The 17,810-nt window shown below is 39.3% G+C and overlaps 1 protein-coding gene across 13 annotated transcripts in view; it reads left to right on the top strand.

Annotated features, from left to right (window-relative positions):
• The window catches only part of SLC16A7 (solute carrier family 16 member 7), a 193,813-nt gene that overhangs the window by 135,333 nt on the left and 40,670 nt on the right, over window positions 1-17,810 (top strand). The window contains exons 2-3 of one of the 13 annotated variants that reach the window (XM_017020226.3): window positions 2,384-2,826; window positions 4,569-4,627. The exons of 10 other annotated variants lie outside the window; for them this stretch is intronic. The gene's annotated coding sequence lies outside the window, so the exon portion shown is untranslated. Of the gene's footprint in view, window positions 1-2,378; window positions 2,827-4,568; window positions 4,628-17,810 lie in introns of those variants that run through there. 2 more of the 13 variants (XM_011538995.3, NR_073056.2) reach the window with 2 other exon arrangements.

A 17,810-nucleotide genomic window follows, 5' to 3' on the forward strand; every position in this document is an offset into this window, starting at 1 on the left:
TGATCATCATTTTCCAAATTATAGAAATGAAGTACAAAAAGGTTAAATGGTGAAAGATCACAGGACTAGTTCCTAGGAAAGCAAGCCTGGTAGCCCCAAGCTCAGTGCTTTGAAGTGCTTGATAGTAGGATAAGAATCCCAGATAGCCCTCCCATTAACTTTTCTCTGTATAGCTTCAATTAATTGAGTTTGCTGGCTAAGAACTTTGAATTTAAAATAAAAAGACCAAATTCCAGTCTTCGTTATTTTCTAGCCATGTGATTCTTATTCAAATGATGTAAACTCTCTGAGCCTGACTTCTGTATCTGCAACATGGTTATAGTGCAGCTCCTGGATCTTCCACATAGAGCTCATTTGGCCCACACCAACAAGGAAAAATGCTCTGAAAATGACTGAATGCCTTTTAAAAACATAAACAAATATTGTTTCATACCATCATGGCATTTTGTAATGAGGATTTAACCCAGAGGCAAAAGATATAGGGTCAAACCTCAACTCTACCACTAGAAGCTGTGTGACTCCAGACAAGTCCTTGAACCTGTGTGAGAATTTGTTTTGTTCACTGTAAAATAAGGATTTTTGAGTGATATTTAAGTCATTTAAATAGTGATATTTATCAATGACAAATTGCTGTGAGTGGTTGAATGGGATAAACAAAAGTGTGAAGGTCTTTATACAATGAAAAGGAGCTATGCATATATATTATATATATATTTCCATATATATAGAGAAAAGCATTATTTGCATATAGTATACTTAAAAATGCTAATTTTTGGCTGGGCACAGTGGCGCATGCCTGTAATCCCAGCACTTTGGGAGGCCGAGGTGGGCAGATCACCTGAGGTCAGAGTTCGAGACCAGCCTGACCAATATGAAGAAACCCTATCTCTACTAAAAAAAAACACAAAATTAGCCTGGCATGGTGGCACATGCCTGAAATCCCAGCTACTTGGGAGGCTGAGGCAGAAGAATTGCTTGAACCTGGGAGGTGGAGGTTGAAGTGAGCCGAGATCGCGCCACTGCACTCCAGCCTGGGCGACAAGAGCAAAACTCCGTCTCAAGGGGAAAAAAATGCTATAGTTTTAGTACTATGTCAGAAAACATAATGGCTCCTGAATCTTTTTGGCTTCTAAAGGAAATATGCCAAAGTAGGTATATGAGAGGGTGCTGTGCACAGAAGATCATATGTGACTGAAGCCTAATTTGTGACTTGTAACTCACTCATCTTCACACTTTTGCCTTTCTCAGGGAGTTTCAAACTCCTTTCTTCCTGTATTACTTAAATTTCTCAAATACCCAATGTTCTTAATTTTTGTACCACATTCTGAGGGACTTCATAAGAGTTGAACTGACATTCCATATAGACTCTTCCTTTCATGCGTAGTTATTCACCCCACTCATTTATTAAATTGACAGCTTTCTTGAGCTAGGTATAGCTAGAGGCCTCCTTATCCTCTCACTGCCAACACTAATTTTGCAAAAGAGAAGGTGTTATATGAAGCGCTGACTGCTATGAATTGACAGACAAGATCACTTTTAAATGTCTTTATGGGAAGAGTATGTAATTCATTCTCATTGATATGTGGGGGTAAAAAAAATCCCTGAAGTTGCAAACACACCCAAAAGGGCTCTTGGGAGGTGAGCAAACACATTTAAGTGGTAACTTTACACTCTCAATGTGCAACTCAACAAATATGAGTTGTCTTAATACACACTGGATCTTCTGCCCTATAGAGGAAATCAACAGGAAGATTTGGGTTAGGGTCATGGCATCCTTAGGGGTATCGCTTCACCAGCCCAAAACCTCTGTGACCAGCGGCGCCTTTGTCCAAGTTTTGTTCAAGCCTGCTGGGCTCATTCAGCCTACTTGGCCCAGTAGGTTGTGCTCGGCTTGTGGGATCTGCCCAGATCCCATACCTGCCAAGGGTGAGCAAGGTGCAAAGCGGCGAGGGGTGTGTGAGTGAGCACTGGGGTCTGGCCACTGCACACAGCCAGGCATGCCGGCTGCAGCAGGGTGGGCAGCTCCAGGCGCTGGCAAAGGCACTGGCTTTTTGTGGGGTGGGCAGCTCCAGGCGCTGGCAAAGGCACAGGCTTTGTGTGAGGCTGCTGGCTGGACCGGGCATACCACAAACGGCTTCTACTGTGGGCACTGGGGAATGCAGTGGTGCCTGGAAGCTTGGCAATGCCAGGAGACACAGAGCCCCAAAGGGTGTCACAGCCCTGGCTCAGGGATCCTAGACCTAAGGGCTTCCCAAAGGGCCACAGCTCCTCTCTCCTTCTCATCACCTGAACATGGCAATCCCGGAGTGTTTCAGCCCTGGTTATGTTACAACTGTTTCAGTCCCGCCATTCAGCAGGTCCCAAGCTCCCATCTCACCTCCAGGAAGAATGAAGCACATGGACAACCGGAGAGCGAGCAAGGCAGAGAGGAGCTTCACTGAGCAACAAAACAACTCTTAGGAGAGCCACGGTGGGCACCTTCTTTCTGCAGGCAGGTCGTCCTGACTAGCTGAGGAGACCCAAAGTGGGTATCTCCTTCCCACAGCTGGTAATCCTGACGTCTGTGTGAGTCTGGCAGAGTCTGGGGTTTTTAAGGGGTCAGAAGGGAGGAAGTGCATGCTGATTGGTCTGTGGGCAGCCATGGGTGGGCCTGGAAAAAGCTCCATAAGTTCTCACTTTGGTCTACAGACTACCCAGAACTGACAGTCTGACCCCCAGGCCTCAGGCTGTCTCTGGATTAAAGGTGGGGTTTCACCAAGGATCCACCCCTTTCTGCCCAGGAATCTGTCTGCCTCCCACCATCAACATGCCCTCCATGGCACCCAGGTAGGGGCACCTGCAGACTCACACTGAGCTGCCCTCAGCTCCCCTGCCCCAGCCTCCCTCCCAGAGCTCATTGATGCACAGAGTTTCAGAGGGGTTCCAGGCAGGATTGGCATGTCAACACTGCCCCAAGCAGGTGCATATGGCCAGATCACAACAGCACCCAGGCTCGGCTTCAACTTTAACCTTAAATCTGGGCAGGCACCAGGAGTGGGGAAAGGCCAGGGAGCAGGAGCAGGCACTTCTGAGCCTGCAGGGGCAGGGGGGCTTCCTGGGCCCCAGAGAGTGCAGGGATGTCCAGGTCTGGAGCCATGGCTAGGCAGCAGCAGCAGCAGCTGCACCTGCACTGGGAAGTGTGGGTCTCCAACCCCTTTAACTTGGTAGGGGGCAGGGCTGCCACCTGTTCCTGGCCCCTGCCGGCTTTGCACAGTGTGGGGCCCTGGCCACACCTGCCCCACTGCAGCATCTGCCTTTGCAGAGGCCACTTCAGGCAGCCTCTGCTGCCATTAGGACCAAAAATAGTAAAATTCCTCTGAGATTATAGTTGAGTGGATTTGGGGACTTTGATGATATACATCATTGTCATTCTCTATTTCATTTGTAACTAGATATTATTCAGATGTTAAATTCAAAAAAATATAAATAACACATTAAAAGAGTAGTTTCATTAGGTATATAGCTATATTCTTTAAAATCTCATCCATTGCTATAAATTCATGCATTTATGCATTACTCTCTAGTTTCTTAACATTCAGCTTGACATTTCCTTTTCTATTGACACCAATAAAGCCCAATGCATTTTCTGTATAACTAAATCATCTTGAAAAGAGTTTAAAACATGATACAAAAATGAAATTGAAATTGTCTTTTATAGCTTATGAATAAATTTTGAATATTCCCTTTGTGCTTTGTGATTTAGGTGCTGAACGGCTAAGGTATAAATAGTACACCACTACTAGGTTCCTAAAAAGCCGCTTTGATTTGAGATATATTTAACTTCTACCTCGAAGACATAGTTTTTATATTGGAAGAAAATGTTTTTTGCTCCTAGGAAACTTCAGTATTATTCTCATCACAAGCTTAACATGCTATATCTTTCCCAAAGTTGGTGTATTTCATTGAATCATTTTCATGTGCTCTGACTGAAGAATATCAATATCACTCTTCAGATGAAAGGTGGTTCCAGTAATGCCTGATGTCTCAGCATCATTTGTAATACAAATGATGGGGAGCCTGTGGCTTAATGGCCACTAATTTATTTTGAATTTATGATGCATTGCAGCCATTAGTAGTAAGCTGCTTTACATCAGTTCATGGCGAATAAGAGTTCTGTTTGTGGTAGGTTTTATTTCTTGATGTCAGATGAGAAAATATGACTATTTCAAAAGGAAAATAAACCCAGTCCTAAAGTGGAATCAGGTCAGAAGTCTACCAGTTCTGTGTAACAATATATCATGCACTTCACTGTGCCTTATCATAGGTAACTGTGGGGTATTTTTAAATGAAAAACTGTAGCCCTGCTGCTTTTGCATTATATTAAAACATAAATTTAATATGCAATTTCCACTGGGGTTTTTTGAACACTTTATTAATATATATTTATCATGAAATTTTGCAGAATAAGTAATATATTATAAATTTTATGTTATGAAGATTGCCATATATTTAAAAACATACCAACATTAGAATAAAACTAACCTTTCAAATGGCCCCTAACAGATATAAATTCTCTATGACTTTGATAGGAAAAAAGGAGAAGCGGAATGCATCATTCACCCTTTAAAGAGATCACCATCTACTTGAGGTAACAAGATTTTGGTAGAAACATTATTTTAATGTATGGTTTTAATAAGAACTCAGGGATATAGTTGGTGAGACACCATACAACTGTGAGAGATTTATTCCCATATCTGAGAATAAAAGGTATCAGAGGTTGGAAATATGAGAGCAAGGCTCCAGGGACAGAAGCATCATGGACATGGCTGAGTTTGAGCTGGATCTTAAAGAAAGAGCAAAATATTAGCAGAAACAACATGCACACAAAGCACAATGGAGGCAAAATAATAAAAATTGCTAGAGAGTGGGTGTTAAATCAAATGGTTTATCTGAGAGAAGAGATTTCATAAATATGAAATAATAGAAAATAGGGAGGGCTTGAGTGAAATGCTTTAAATGAACACAAAAAACAAACAAAAACAAAGTTTTTCTAAAACTAATTTTAAGCACCATATCCAAATTACTAACTCCAGCAGCCACTAAGGTCCATTGTAGGGTGAGTTCTTGTCTTGAGCTAATTTTCACTTTGGTCAGGCATCACTCCAAGGCTGGATTGGTTCAGGAGGCTACACTTGGTGACTTTCCCCACTATCAGCTGCTGCAGATGCTGTATTTCCCACCACTGCAGTTAAATCATTCCTTCTAAACAACAGACTGGGCAGATGCCACTTTAGGACCCTATCAAAATAACTTGACCACAGATGACCAGCCTCGTTGGAACTCACTGCCTAATTCTGCCTAGAAATTAAGACCTCATCTTAATTATTTAGTTCTTCATCTCTTTCTAGCCTTTGTTACTAAACAAGTCCTGATCATCTGTCCTCCTTATGCATAACTTCCTCCACATGCTGACCAATGATTCTCCAATGATTTCTAGTCTTGCATTAGCATGCCTTCCAATCCCTCCCACTGAGCCCTCTGAAACTGCTTTTCCAAGATATTTCCTGTCATCTGTTCTCTACACCCTCAGCCTCCATTTCACTGAACAATTCCTCTGTTTGCTTATCCTAAGCAAGCCCTGAGGTCTTCTCTGACTGACTTCCAATATGCATATTGGAGATTGCATGTTGTTCCACAGCTTTTCAATGGTGAGTCACAGACACCGGCTCTCAAGACTCAGATAACATCTGTGCTTGTGCTGTGAGGCACAGTTGCAGATGGGGAAGGGATCTGCAAATGAGGTACAAAGGACATTTAGGGTCAGCATCAAACAGGACATACAACTCACCTAATCCTCTCCATGAGGTTATCTTCTTTGAGAGAATTTTGGCACACACCTAAAAGCCTAGATAATAATAATAAAGAGGCTACTCATTATCTTATGAAATCATTGATGAATTAAAATTGAAGATTTATAATAAGTTAAAAATGCCAGTGTTTGGGTTGATTGCATTGTTGAGAAAGAGGAATTTCAGACCAGTTTATTAGAATTCTAAGGAGTGATTTTTGCTTAGTAATGGACCTTTTAAAATAGTCAGTCCAATCTCTAAAACCTCTTTCCTCTTGAAACATCATTAAATAATTTTACTTTAAACTATGTCCTCTTAGGCATTTGATTACTAACAAAATGTTTATGCTCCTTAACTGCTTTGACTGCAATAAAAAGGGAGCTGACTTCCTGAGTAACTGGGTAAATTGATAGGACTTTTTCTAGATTTTCTAATGTTTAATACCATTGCTTTTATTTGAAAAGACTGGACTTTTGGGGGGATGACTTGGACTCCCTGTCTTTAGATTGTCCTGACTCTAGCCTGTCCCTGTTACACAATTTTCCCTAGCTCTGAACCAGTGTTCCTGGCCCTAGAAGCACAGTTAAATTAACTGATACTTGGGGTATGGTCCTGTTTTTATCCTGTCAACTCTTATACCAACCCAACAAATGGAATAGTTCCTTTCTTCTCCAATGGTTTAGCATATCAGCTTGCGCCTGTAGGTCACTGGTCTAAACTAGAGTACACCACACAAAGAGCTTGTGGATTGCAGAGACTGATACTGCTTTGCCTATACAGTATGAGATAATGATCCATTCTCCTGTTTTATTTCATTATTTGGTTGTTTATAAGATTTATATTAAATTATATCCTTAAAGATCTCTAGGCTATGCATTCTCATGGTGCTTTATCACAGAGATATTGTACTTATAAAAAATGTATTCACATCAACTCCACAGCAGATGTCTGGTCTAAACTATTTTGCCCAGCACGTATACCACATTGGATTTGGGTGGTTTCAGTTTTGATTTGGAGAATTGCTTTAGCAGTCTATGTCACACCATCACAAGAATGAAATCTTTCTGCCAAGGAATTATTTTATCCATAAAATATGCAACTATACTATAAGATTTCCAAGATAGAATACCTCCTAACAAAAACATAATTCTTCAAAGCGTATGTGTGAATGATTGTGAAATACAAGTACAAATCTAAACTTGTTTCCATATCAAACTGAGGGCTGGGCTGCTATTTCTCATGGACCAATAACAAGATGCAGATGAACTGGGGAGGAAGAGAGTTTTTATTTTCTGCAACTGGTTATGGGAGAAGGCCTGTCTATTCTGACATAGACCAAGTCTCTGTCCTTGTTTCCAAAATATAAAGTATTTTTCATTCATCCTACCCTTTGCTGGCATTTCAACATTTTGCTTGTCACTAATTTTGACTCTTTATCTTAACAAGGGTTTATGGCAGGGAATAGTATTGACCCACAGATGAGCTTTGCCTCAGAGAAAGAAAATGCTAATGACTGCTCATAGGTGAAAGACTATGAGCACACAGATTAGCTCTCAGGAAATTTAACACTTAGGTACAAAAGAATCTCTTGAGGATACTGATCCTTATTAAGAGCAGATTTTTGTTTTCTATCCTCAAAGATTTTTTTTTTTTTAGTTTACATTTTTATTAAGGTCTTCATGTTTATAAACTATTGCTATTTTTAAATTTATATCACTTACCCATTTATCTATGGAGAACTTACAGTTCTCCAAATCAATTTGTGCATGGAATATTATATATTAGGATGCAAACTATTTCACTATGGAGCTGGGTGTAAATTTTTTTTTCATTTATTTATTTATTTATTTATTTATTTTATTATTATTATACTTTAAGTTTTAGGGTACATGTGCACAATGTGCAGGTTTAGTTACATGTGTATACCTGTGCCATGCTGGTGTGCTACACCCATTAACTCGTCATTTAGCATTAGGTATATCTCCTAAAGCTATCCCTCCCCCCTCCCCCCACCCCACAACAGTCCCCAGAGTGTGATGTTCCCCTTCCTGTGTCCATATGTTCTCATTGTTCAATTCCCACCTATGAGTGAGAATATGCGGTGTTTGGTTTTTTGTTCTTGAGATAGTTTACTGAGAATGATGATTTCCAATTTCATCCATGTCCCTACAAAGGACATGAACTCATCATTTTTTATGGCTGCATAGTATTCTATGGTGTATATGTGCCACATTTTCTGAATCCAGTCTATCATTGTTGGACATTTCGGTTGGTTCCAAGTCTTTGCTATTGTGAATAGTGCCGCAATAAATATACGTGTGCATGTGTCTTTATAGCAGCATGATTTATAGTCCTTTGGGTATATACCCAGTAATGGGATGGCTGGGTCAAATGGTATTTCTAGTTCTAGATCCCTGAGGAATCGCCACACTGTCTTCCACAATGGTTGAACTAGTTTACAGTCCCACCAACAGTGTAGAAGTGTTTCTATTTCTCCACATCCTCTCCAGCACCTGTTGTTTCCTGACTTTTTAATGATTGCCATTCTAACTGGTGTGAGATGGTATCTCATTGTGGTTTAGATTTGCATTTCTCTGATGACCAGTGATGGTGAGCATTTTTTCATGTGTTTTTTGGCTGCATAAATGTCTTCTTTTGAGAATTGTCTGTTCATGTCCTTCACCCACTTTTTGATGGGGTTGTTTGTTTTTCTCTTGTATATTTGTTTGAGTTCATTGTAGATTCTGGATATTAGCCCTTTGTCAGATGAGTAGGTTGGGAAAATTTTCTCCCATTTTGTAGGTTGCCTGTTCACTCTGATGGTAGTTTCTTTTGCTGTGCAGAAGCTCTTTAGTTTAATTAGATCCCATTTGTCAATTTTGGCTTTTGTTGCCATTGCTTTTGGTGTTTTAGACATGAAGTCCTTGCCCATGCCTATGTCCTGAATGGTAATGCCTAGGTTTTCTTCTAGGCTTTTTATGGTTTTAGGTCTAACGTTTAAGTCTTTAATCCATCTTGAATTAATTTTTGTATAAGGTGTAAGGAAGGGATCCAGTTTCAGCTTTCTACATATGGCTAGCCAGTTTTCCCAGCACCATTTATTAAATAGGGAATCCTTTCCCCATTGCTTGTTTTTGTCAGGTTTGTCCAAGATCAGATAGTTGTAGATATGCGGCGTTATTTCTGAGGGCTCTGTTCTGTTCCATTGATCTATATCTCTGTTTTGGTACCAGTACCATGCTGTTTTGGTGACTGTAGCCTTGTAGTATAGTTTGAAGTCAGGTAGCAGATGCAGAAAAGGCCTTTGACAAAATTCAACAATGCTTCATGCTAAAAACTCTCAATAAATTAGGTATTGATGGGACGTATCTCAAAATAATAAGAGCTATCTATGACAAACCCACAGCCAATATCATACTGAATGGGCAAAAACTGGAAGCATTCTCTTTGAAAACTGGCACAAGACAGGGATGCCCTCTCTCACCACTCCTATTCAACATAGTGTTGGAAGTTCTGGCCAGGGCAATCAGGCAGGAGAAGGAAATAAAGGGTATTCAGTTAGGAAAAGAGGAAATCAAATTGTCCCTGTTTGCAGATGACATGACTGTATATCTAGAAAACCCCAATGTCTCAGCCCAAAATCTCCTTAAGCTGATAAGCAACTTCAGCAAAGTCTCAGGATACAAAATCAATGTACAAAAATCACAAGCATTCTTATACACCAATAACAGACAAACAGAGAGCCAAATCATGTGTGAACTCCCTTTCACAATTGCTTCAAAGAAAATAAAATACCTAGGAATCCAATTTACAAGGGACGTGAAGGACCTCTTCAAGGAGAACTACAAACCACTGCTCAATGAAATAAAAGAGGATACAAAGAAATGGAAGAACATTCCATGCTCATGGTTAGGAAGAATCAATATCATGAAAATGGCCATACTGCCCAAGGTAATTTATAGATTCAATGCCATCCCCATCAAGCTACCGATGACTTTCTTCACAGAATTGGAAAAAACTACTTTAAAGTTCATATGGAACCCAAAAAGAGCCCGCATCGCCAAGTCAATCCTAAGCCTATCCTCAAAGATTCTTATGCAGTTGGTATCAAAGTGCCCTTTATACCTTGGAGCACTTTGAGAAACCTTACCCAGTGTGTTTGTAAATGTGGTGTCAGGAGGAACAAACTTTTCACAGCTGTCCTGGACAGATGCCAGAAATTTCCCCTTCTTTGCTCTTAGTGCTGGTTAGTCTTAGGAATAACAGGCTTCCTAGGGTTTCTTGTAGATGCTCATTAAAAATAGGGCAAAAAATCCAGAGATACAGTGACGGGTTCTGCTCCTTTCTTTCAGAAGGAAATGAAAAGCAAGTTATCGTAGGGATAGCATGCTAATACAGTCACCGTTTTCAGTTACCACCATTCTTTTCACTGAATTTTAGAGTTCTTTCAAGAAGCAAGGAAACATCAATTTGAATCTGAAGAAAATTCACGGGAATCTCTGAAGCCAGCCAGTAGTTAAAAGCAAGAACTTTGTGCTATTGGTTAGTTGATTTACAGCTTATTTTAGGACAGAGAGGAAAGGAGTGTGTGTTCAATGTTCACTTTGTTGCCTGCCAGTCCTCCTGTTATGGTAGAAGTTATCTGAGTTACTGGTGGTGAATCCATCTGGGTCTGCAGCAACCTCAATTCCTGCCTCCCTAGAAGAAATAATTTGACTGAGGGGCATAAGGCAGAAAGAGACTGAGGCAAGTTTCAGAGCAGGAGTGGACGTTTATTAAAAAGTTTTACAGCAGGAAAGAACACTTAAAAGAGATCCTAGCGGGTGATTTGGGGTGTTTAACTGTGATCCTAGGACTTTATAGGCTGGCATCTTGCAGCCCTTTCCCATGATTCTTCCCTTAGGGTGGGCTGCTCACATGCACAGTGCCCTCCTTGCTCTTGGGAAGTGAGCATGAGCAGTCTGTTTAGGAAGTTGCACACATGTGCATCTGAGGCTTTCTTCCCTTTTCTGGTAGAGTGCCCCTGGAAAGTCATATTCCAACATTTTGTCTCTTAATGCTCATGTCCAGGAACTTGCTTCTCCCTGGCACTTGCATTCTATTAACACTTTAATGTTAACAGCTCTGGATCATCAGGAAATTGTCTCTCCCTGGTGGCCTAGGTGGGGCTGCTGAATTATCATTTTTAAAGAGGCAGTGTGATAATTGTCAAACCACCACCTAATATTCCTAGTGGATGTGGGAGAAAAGCCCACTCTTGCCCTGTTCATGCCTAACAACCTGTAACACTCCACAGTGTCCCTAAATGTCAACCTAGGAGGAAAGTGAGAAATCACAGTGGAGATGGGAAAATCAAGTGTTCTGCAGTTTAAAGAGAAATTAAAGGCAAGGAAAAATATCCTAATGAAAGCTGTTGAAAATGTATAGAGAGGTTTGAAACAATCAGGCATCTGTAGATAATGGTCCTGATCTAAAAGATAAACCCAAAGAAGAGAAACACTTATCAAAATGAATTTCTCTAGAGATATTTTAGGCTCTGCTGAAAGTAAGGATGGGGAATTAATGATATTCTTGGGCTACATCTTTATCAATATCTTTATCAGTCAATATATTTTGAAGATTCTCTTTCCTTCAGCATGTTTTTCCTCTCTGTATAAATCCATGCACAGTTAATTTTCTTCATAATTTCATGTTTTAGTTTGGTTTTATTACTAGAGCTACATTATTGGAAGTTTAAGAAAGGATCTTCCCACCCACAAGAAATTGCATGCATCTGTAAATTGTCAAAAAAAGTAGATGACTCAGTGCACAGAAATTATTCTGACAAAGAAGAAACCACTCTTTCAGAACTTAATTATGTATAATGCTAGGCTGCAGAAGAAGCAATGCTTGAGGTACCAGAGGGAAAATGCATATGAATATCAGTTACTCAAGGGACTCATCATGCTGTTTCACTGATAATTAGTCATACTGTTTAAAAAGAGAAATTTAGGATGCCGGCACTAAAGAAAGAGGCTAGAGTAATTACTGAGGAGTCAGAACAAAAGGCAAACTTTGTAAATTATTTACCTATAAATCAAAACATCGTTTTTCTACATTAATATTTTTGGACTTAAGAAAATACTTGTAAAAGTTATATTGACAAAAGATCATTTAAATGCCTTTGCATTTAAAATTCATTCTGATAATTTGCCATCTCTAAATTAGAGAAAAGGATACAACATCATAATCTTACATGACATGCTTTGCATTTTTAGCATTTATATAAATCCTTTAAAATATAAACTCCTTAAAGGCAGGCATCATAACTATCTTGTTCATCATAATCCCTGCACATAGCCTGAAAGATGCTCAGTAAATATGTGGTGAGTAAAGGAATGAACAAATTTTTTCACTTGTATTGTTGTAAAAATTGTCTAAATCAATTTTCAAGTAAATTAAGACTTTAACAAATTTTTATTAAACAAATTAAATATATTTAGAAGCTACTACATCCAAATATTACATTTAAATGTGTACAATTGATACATAAATTTTCCAATTACATATCAATTTCTAATTTTGAAAATGAGGAATTTTTATACTGAACTTACAATAATCTTAAGCACATAGGATTTGCAATGAAAAAGACTTAGATTCAAAGCCTGGCTCTGTAATTTGTTCAGTCACAAGAACTTAACTTTTCCAAGCTTCCATTTCCAAATCTGTAGAATATGAGTTCAACTATTTAACTTACAGTCTTACTGAGAGAAAATGAAATACTGAATGAAAGTCACTTAGTGGAGTACTTGTAATTCACTAAAACTCACTGTTGAAAGTTATTATTAGGATGTTTTCTATATGAGAAACAAAAAAAGATTCAGTTTAAACAAAATGCACATATATTATCTTGCGTAAGATTATTGATAGGGACTGGAGGCAGGGAAATTCTGAGCAGAAGAGGGCGAGTCCCCTGGCAAGTGCCCCACCCTCAAGCCTGGAACAGCAGCCCAAAATGAGAACATACATTTCTTTTTTCCCACTGGAATGTTGCCTTTTCCAAAACCACCCATAACCCCCCACCCAGCACCCCCATCCCATACCCATAAAAACCCTAGGCTCTGCTGGCAGAGAAGAGGAGAAGCAGCTGGACATTAGAGATTATGGTTGGACGTCAGAGAGAAGCAGCTTGACTTCAGAGTGACGGCTTGACAATGTTGCTTCAAAGAGGAGTCCAGCGGGGAAGGCTGGACTCTGGGGGAAGCTTATCTTCCAGTTCCATTCCCTTTGCAGCTCCCCTTCCTGCTGAAAGCCACTTTCATTGGCAACAAAATCCTCCATATTCACCAACCCTCAATTCATTCGTGCAACCTGATTTTTCCTGGATGCTAAACAAGAGCTCGGGTGCCACAGGTGCAGATGCTAAAGGCTATCACACTGACCCTCTGCCCTCACTGGCAGAGAGCACCCACCTCATGCAAAAAGGCAGAGGGCCCACTGAGCTATAAATACTTAAGCCGTCTGTGGACGGCAAAAGCTAAAAGAGTGCTGACTGTAACACATGCCCTCTGAGGCTTCGGCGATAGCAGGCACCTCCTAGACACTGCTGCAGGGCCCTGGATGGAGATTGGTCTGGCCAGCACCCAAAAGCGCTTGCCCCAACTCCTGTACCCACTCATCTGTGCACTCCCTCTTGCGAGGGGTGAAATGTAATGGGTCCCAGTGAGTGGAGTTTGCCCCTGCCAGTGCTGAAGTGGCCGGCTACATCCAGTGCCCATGTACTCTAGATCCCCCCATCAAAGGTGTCAGGGAAACTTTTCTGCTTCATTATGAGAGCCTCATCTCATTGAATTGAGAGGTAGGGTAGACCCTAAGGTTAGTTGATTCTGGAGTTCAAGGATGTCATCAGAAACCAGGTATTTACACCCCTCCCCTCATCTCCCTCATCACCTTCATCCTTAGACTGCTTCTCTTTATGATTATAAAATGGGTGCCAGGAGCAATCAGACAATATGCTGTCTTTTTCATATCTGAAGAAAACAGAAACAAAATTTGTCTTCCTTACCCTCAAAGCCCTAACCAAGTCTATTCTCGCATTTTATTCACTCAAATGAGTTTAGGTCTAACCATTCCCATAAAGTATTAGCAAAAGAATGAGGTCATTGTCACTGGCATAGAGTCCTATTGGGTTGGGAATGGATGTTGGAGAATCAAGCATAGTATCCACTACAATGATGATAATGACAATGGGGATGATGGATAATTGCCCTATGAATTGATACAAAAGTAGTAAAATTTCAAGTTAAGATTTAAATCAACAAATAATAGAAGAAACTCTGTACATAGGCACTGAAGTAGAAATTCAATGGGTTGGTCACCAAACACACAATGAATGACAAAAAATAATTCACATTCTACCTCAGGAGACAGAAGTATCAGAATCAAAGTAACATGCCATAATATAGAACTGTGGCAATTATGATACACGCACACATAAAAAAGCAGATATTCTTCCTGGAAGGTTTAGAAGGTGTACATAGAGGTTATATTTAAGATTAATTTTGAAATTCTTATAGACATTTCTTATGTCTGCAAAAAAGGCATATTCGTCAGAATTACACTGAAAGCACTGGAAGACTAGGAAGTTTAATTATCTTTTGTTCATTCTGTATCATCAGTGCCTAGAGCTATGTTTAAAACATAGTGGGTACTCAATATTTATAAGAATATGAACAACATTCACAAAGGTAATCATGAAAGAATGGAAAACATAAAGTGAAAAATTGTGAAGTTGAAGACAGGTCACATGATGAATGGGACATGTCTTATTTTAAAGTATTTAGCCTTTATTCTGGAGCTAATAGTCAATTACGGGTTTTAAAAAGGAGAACCATAATCAATAATATGCTTTTTGAAAGATCACTCTTGGTTACTTCTTTGTGTCCAGTAAAAGGTCGGATGAACTTCAAGTAAGGAAACAGCAACAAGGAGAAAAGAAATAACTGTCTTCGAAGTATATTTAGAAAACAGACTTGTCAGTACTTTGTAATTAATTTGATGTCAAATGTGAAGCACAAGGAGTAATCTAAGATGATGTCTGGCTTTCAGGCTTGATTGAATGGATAGTGATGTCTACCAATGAAATCAGCAATACAAGAGCCAAAGCAGATTTTATTTCAGGGCATGAATTAAACAATATATATGACTCAGTTTATTTTGAGGCATCAGTGACATGAGCACCTGAAAATGCTAGAAAGGTCTTGTTTGTCTTGTCCTACAATCAGAAAAGAGTTTTAATCTACAATTTTTAATTTGGTACCCACCAGGTAGTCAAAGTCTAAAGAAAACTTAGAAAGTGAGATGAGAAGATGGCTTCACATTTAACGTTGAGCTGAGCAAAAGTAGACTCTGAGTTAATGTTAACTCCCTCAAGAACATCTTTAATAGTACCCCAGTTTGGTTCAAGCTATGTTAGCATTCCAAATAGGCTGTCCTCTCATGCATCTGAACCCAGCAGAAAATTATTTTATCTTTTCCTTCAAAGAATATTGACAAAGTAACAGCAACATAATTAAGAAATTTATGGATGAGGATGTCCTTGCAATATGATCCCTACCCCCTCAAAGTCAGAAAGGCAATAGTGTGTTTTTTTACTGTTGTTTGTATGTATGTGTTTTTGCTTTTGTGACAGGATCTCACTCTGTCATGCAGGCTGGAGTGTAGTGACGATCATAGCTTGCTGCAGTCTCAAACTCTTGAGCTCAGGCAATCCTCCTGCCTCAGCCTAACGGGTAGCTGGGACTACAGGTGTGCACCCCCATGCCTGTCTAATTATTTTATTTTAGTAGTGACAGTGTCTCACCGTATTGCCTAGGCTAGTCTCTAAATCCTGTGCTCAAGAGATCCTCCTGCCTCAGACTCCCAAAGAGCTGGAATTACAAGTGTGAGCCAGTGCACCTGGCCTATTGTGTTCTAAAACAAATGACATTTTACTACCAAGAACTGGACATGCATACATATATGTGTATACATCTAATGATATAGTTATATGAAAGAAAGGCATTAAAAATTAAGTTACTATTTAAGCAGAAAGTTTTACAATTATTAGACTATTATAATAAAGTTATTATGTTGTACATTTCAATAAAATCAATAAATAACTCTAAACAACAACGAAATTGTTATTTAATGCAAAATTCAAAATATATTGTACAGAAAATAGTATAATGTATTAAGGGTTTCAAATTAAAAAATTATAAAATATTTTTCTAATTAATTGTTTTTAACTCTTTTCTAATAAATAAACATTTGATTGTATCATTCTTTTCCTGATCCCCACCACATATCTAGAACTTGTGATCTTAACTTCTTCTTTCAGGCCAAATGGAGGGAAACAATCCAGGAAGAGGAGCACATAGGAGGCACCATAAGTGAAAGGGTGCAATTGTCTAGCTCACACTTTTTAAAGCAAACAATACTGTCAAACAGGTTGAATCCATTTGCAGACTCTAACCAATTATTTGAGCAGTTCTTTCTCTCTAGCCCTAGACTAGGTAATGGGTAGGGTATGGTTGTATAACCGGAAGCTGTGTAAGCAGAGGCAACCTTAGTGTAAGAAGAAAAAGTGGATCTTATTTGTTTAATAATTGCAAAACTCTTTCCCATATATTACTTCACTTGATCCTCCAACACGGATCCTACAACAATCTGTGAAGTAGTCTAGATACCATTAATCATAAAAACAGAATCATAGGCCACGCGCTGTGGCACACACCTGTAATTCCAATACTTTGGGAGGCCGAGGAGGGCAGATCACCTGAGGTCAGGAGTTTGAGACCAGCCTGGCCAATATGGTGAAACCCCATCTCTACTAAAAATACAAAAATTAGCTGGGCATGGTGGTGGGTGCCTGTAATCCCAGCTACTCGGAAGGCTGAGGCAGGAGAATCGCAAGGGTTAATCGAGGGATTGGTAGAAGTGGAGAGGCGTGGGTCAAAGGATACAAAATTTTAGCTAGATAGGATAGGATTTTAGCTACAAATCTATTATAAAAAGTTAAATTTTATCAGAACTTATGCACAGGAACCCTTACAGACGCTACAGGCCACCATCCACAGTGCAGAAAAATGTAAACAAACATAAGGACACGGTATAAAATCAAGCTGCCTGAAATTAACTGTAATACATACTGTACTACTGTAATAATTTTGTAGCCATCTCCTGTTGCTACTGTGCTGGGCTAAAGTGTTGTGTCATGCCTAAAACATGTGTGACACTTATCTCTATGTGAGCGGTTCTTTCCTCTAGTAAATTATCACAATAAAAAATGGGCTCTCAGAGTTCTTGCATATTTTGTATCATGTTTCGTGCAATACCATAAACCTTGAATAACACCACGGGACCCATACAAAGTTGAATTGCTTGATATGTACCATAGACTGAAGTCGGCTACTGTAGCTGCCTACCATTTCAAGATAATTGAATACAGCAAAAATACTACTGTAAGAAAATAAAAGGAAATTTATGAAATTTTTGTTGCAGACTCTGCCAACAGGTGTGAAAACCTTACACTTTTTGCAAACTACCTTTTTATCTTGTATTGAAAATGCAGCTTTTATGTAGGTTCGGGATTGCTATAAGACTTACCTATAGATATGCACTTTAATATGATTTGAGAACAAGCAAATGACAACTTAAAGTAAAAGCTAAATGAAATATCTAAATCCAGAGTATTTAATACCAGCAAACTGTGGTTTGATAATTTTAAGTAGAGATTTGGCTTTAAAAAATGTCACGATAACAGGAGAAGCAGCTTCTACTGACCAAAAAGCAGCAGATGACTTCCAAGACATCACTGAAAAAATCATTGAGAAGAAATGACATCTGCCTGAACAGGTTTTTAATGCAGACAAAAGTACACTAGTTTGGGGAAAAAAATGCCACAAAGGAAATTTATTAGTAAGGAAGAGAAATTAGCATTGAGAATTTAAGGTAGGAAGGGAC

The sequence above is a fragment of the Homo sapiens genome, chromosome 12, assembly GCF_000001405.40.
Source record: "Homo sapiens chromosome 12, GRCh38.p14 Primary Assembly".
NCBI lineage: Eukaryota > Metazoa > Chordata > Mammalia > Primates > Hominidae > Homo > Homo sapiens.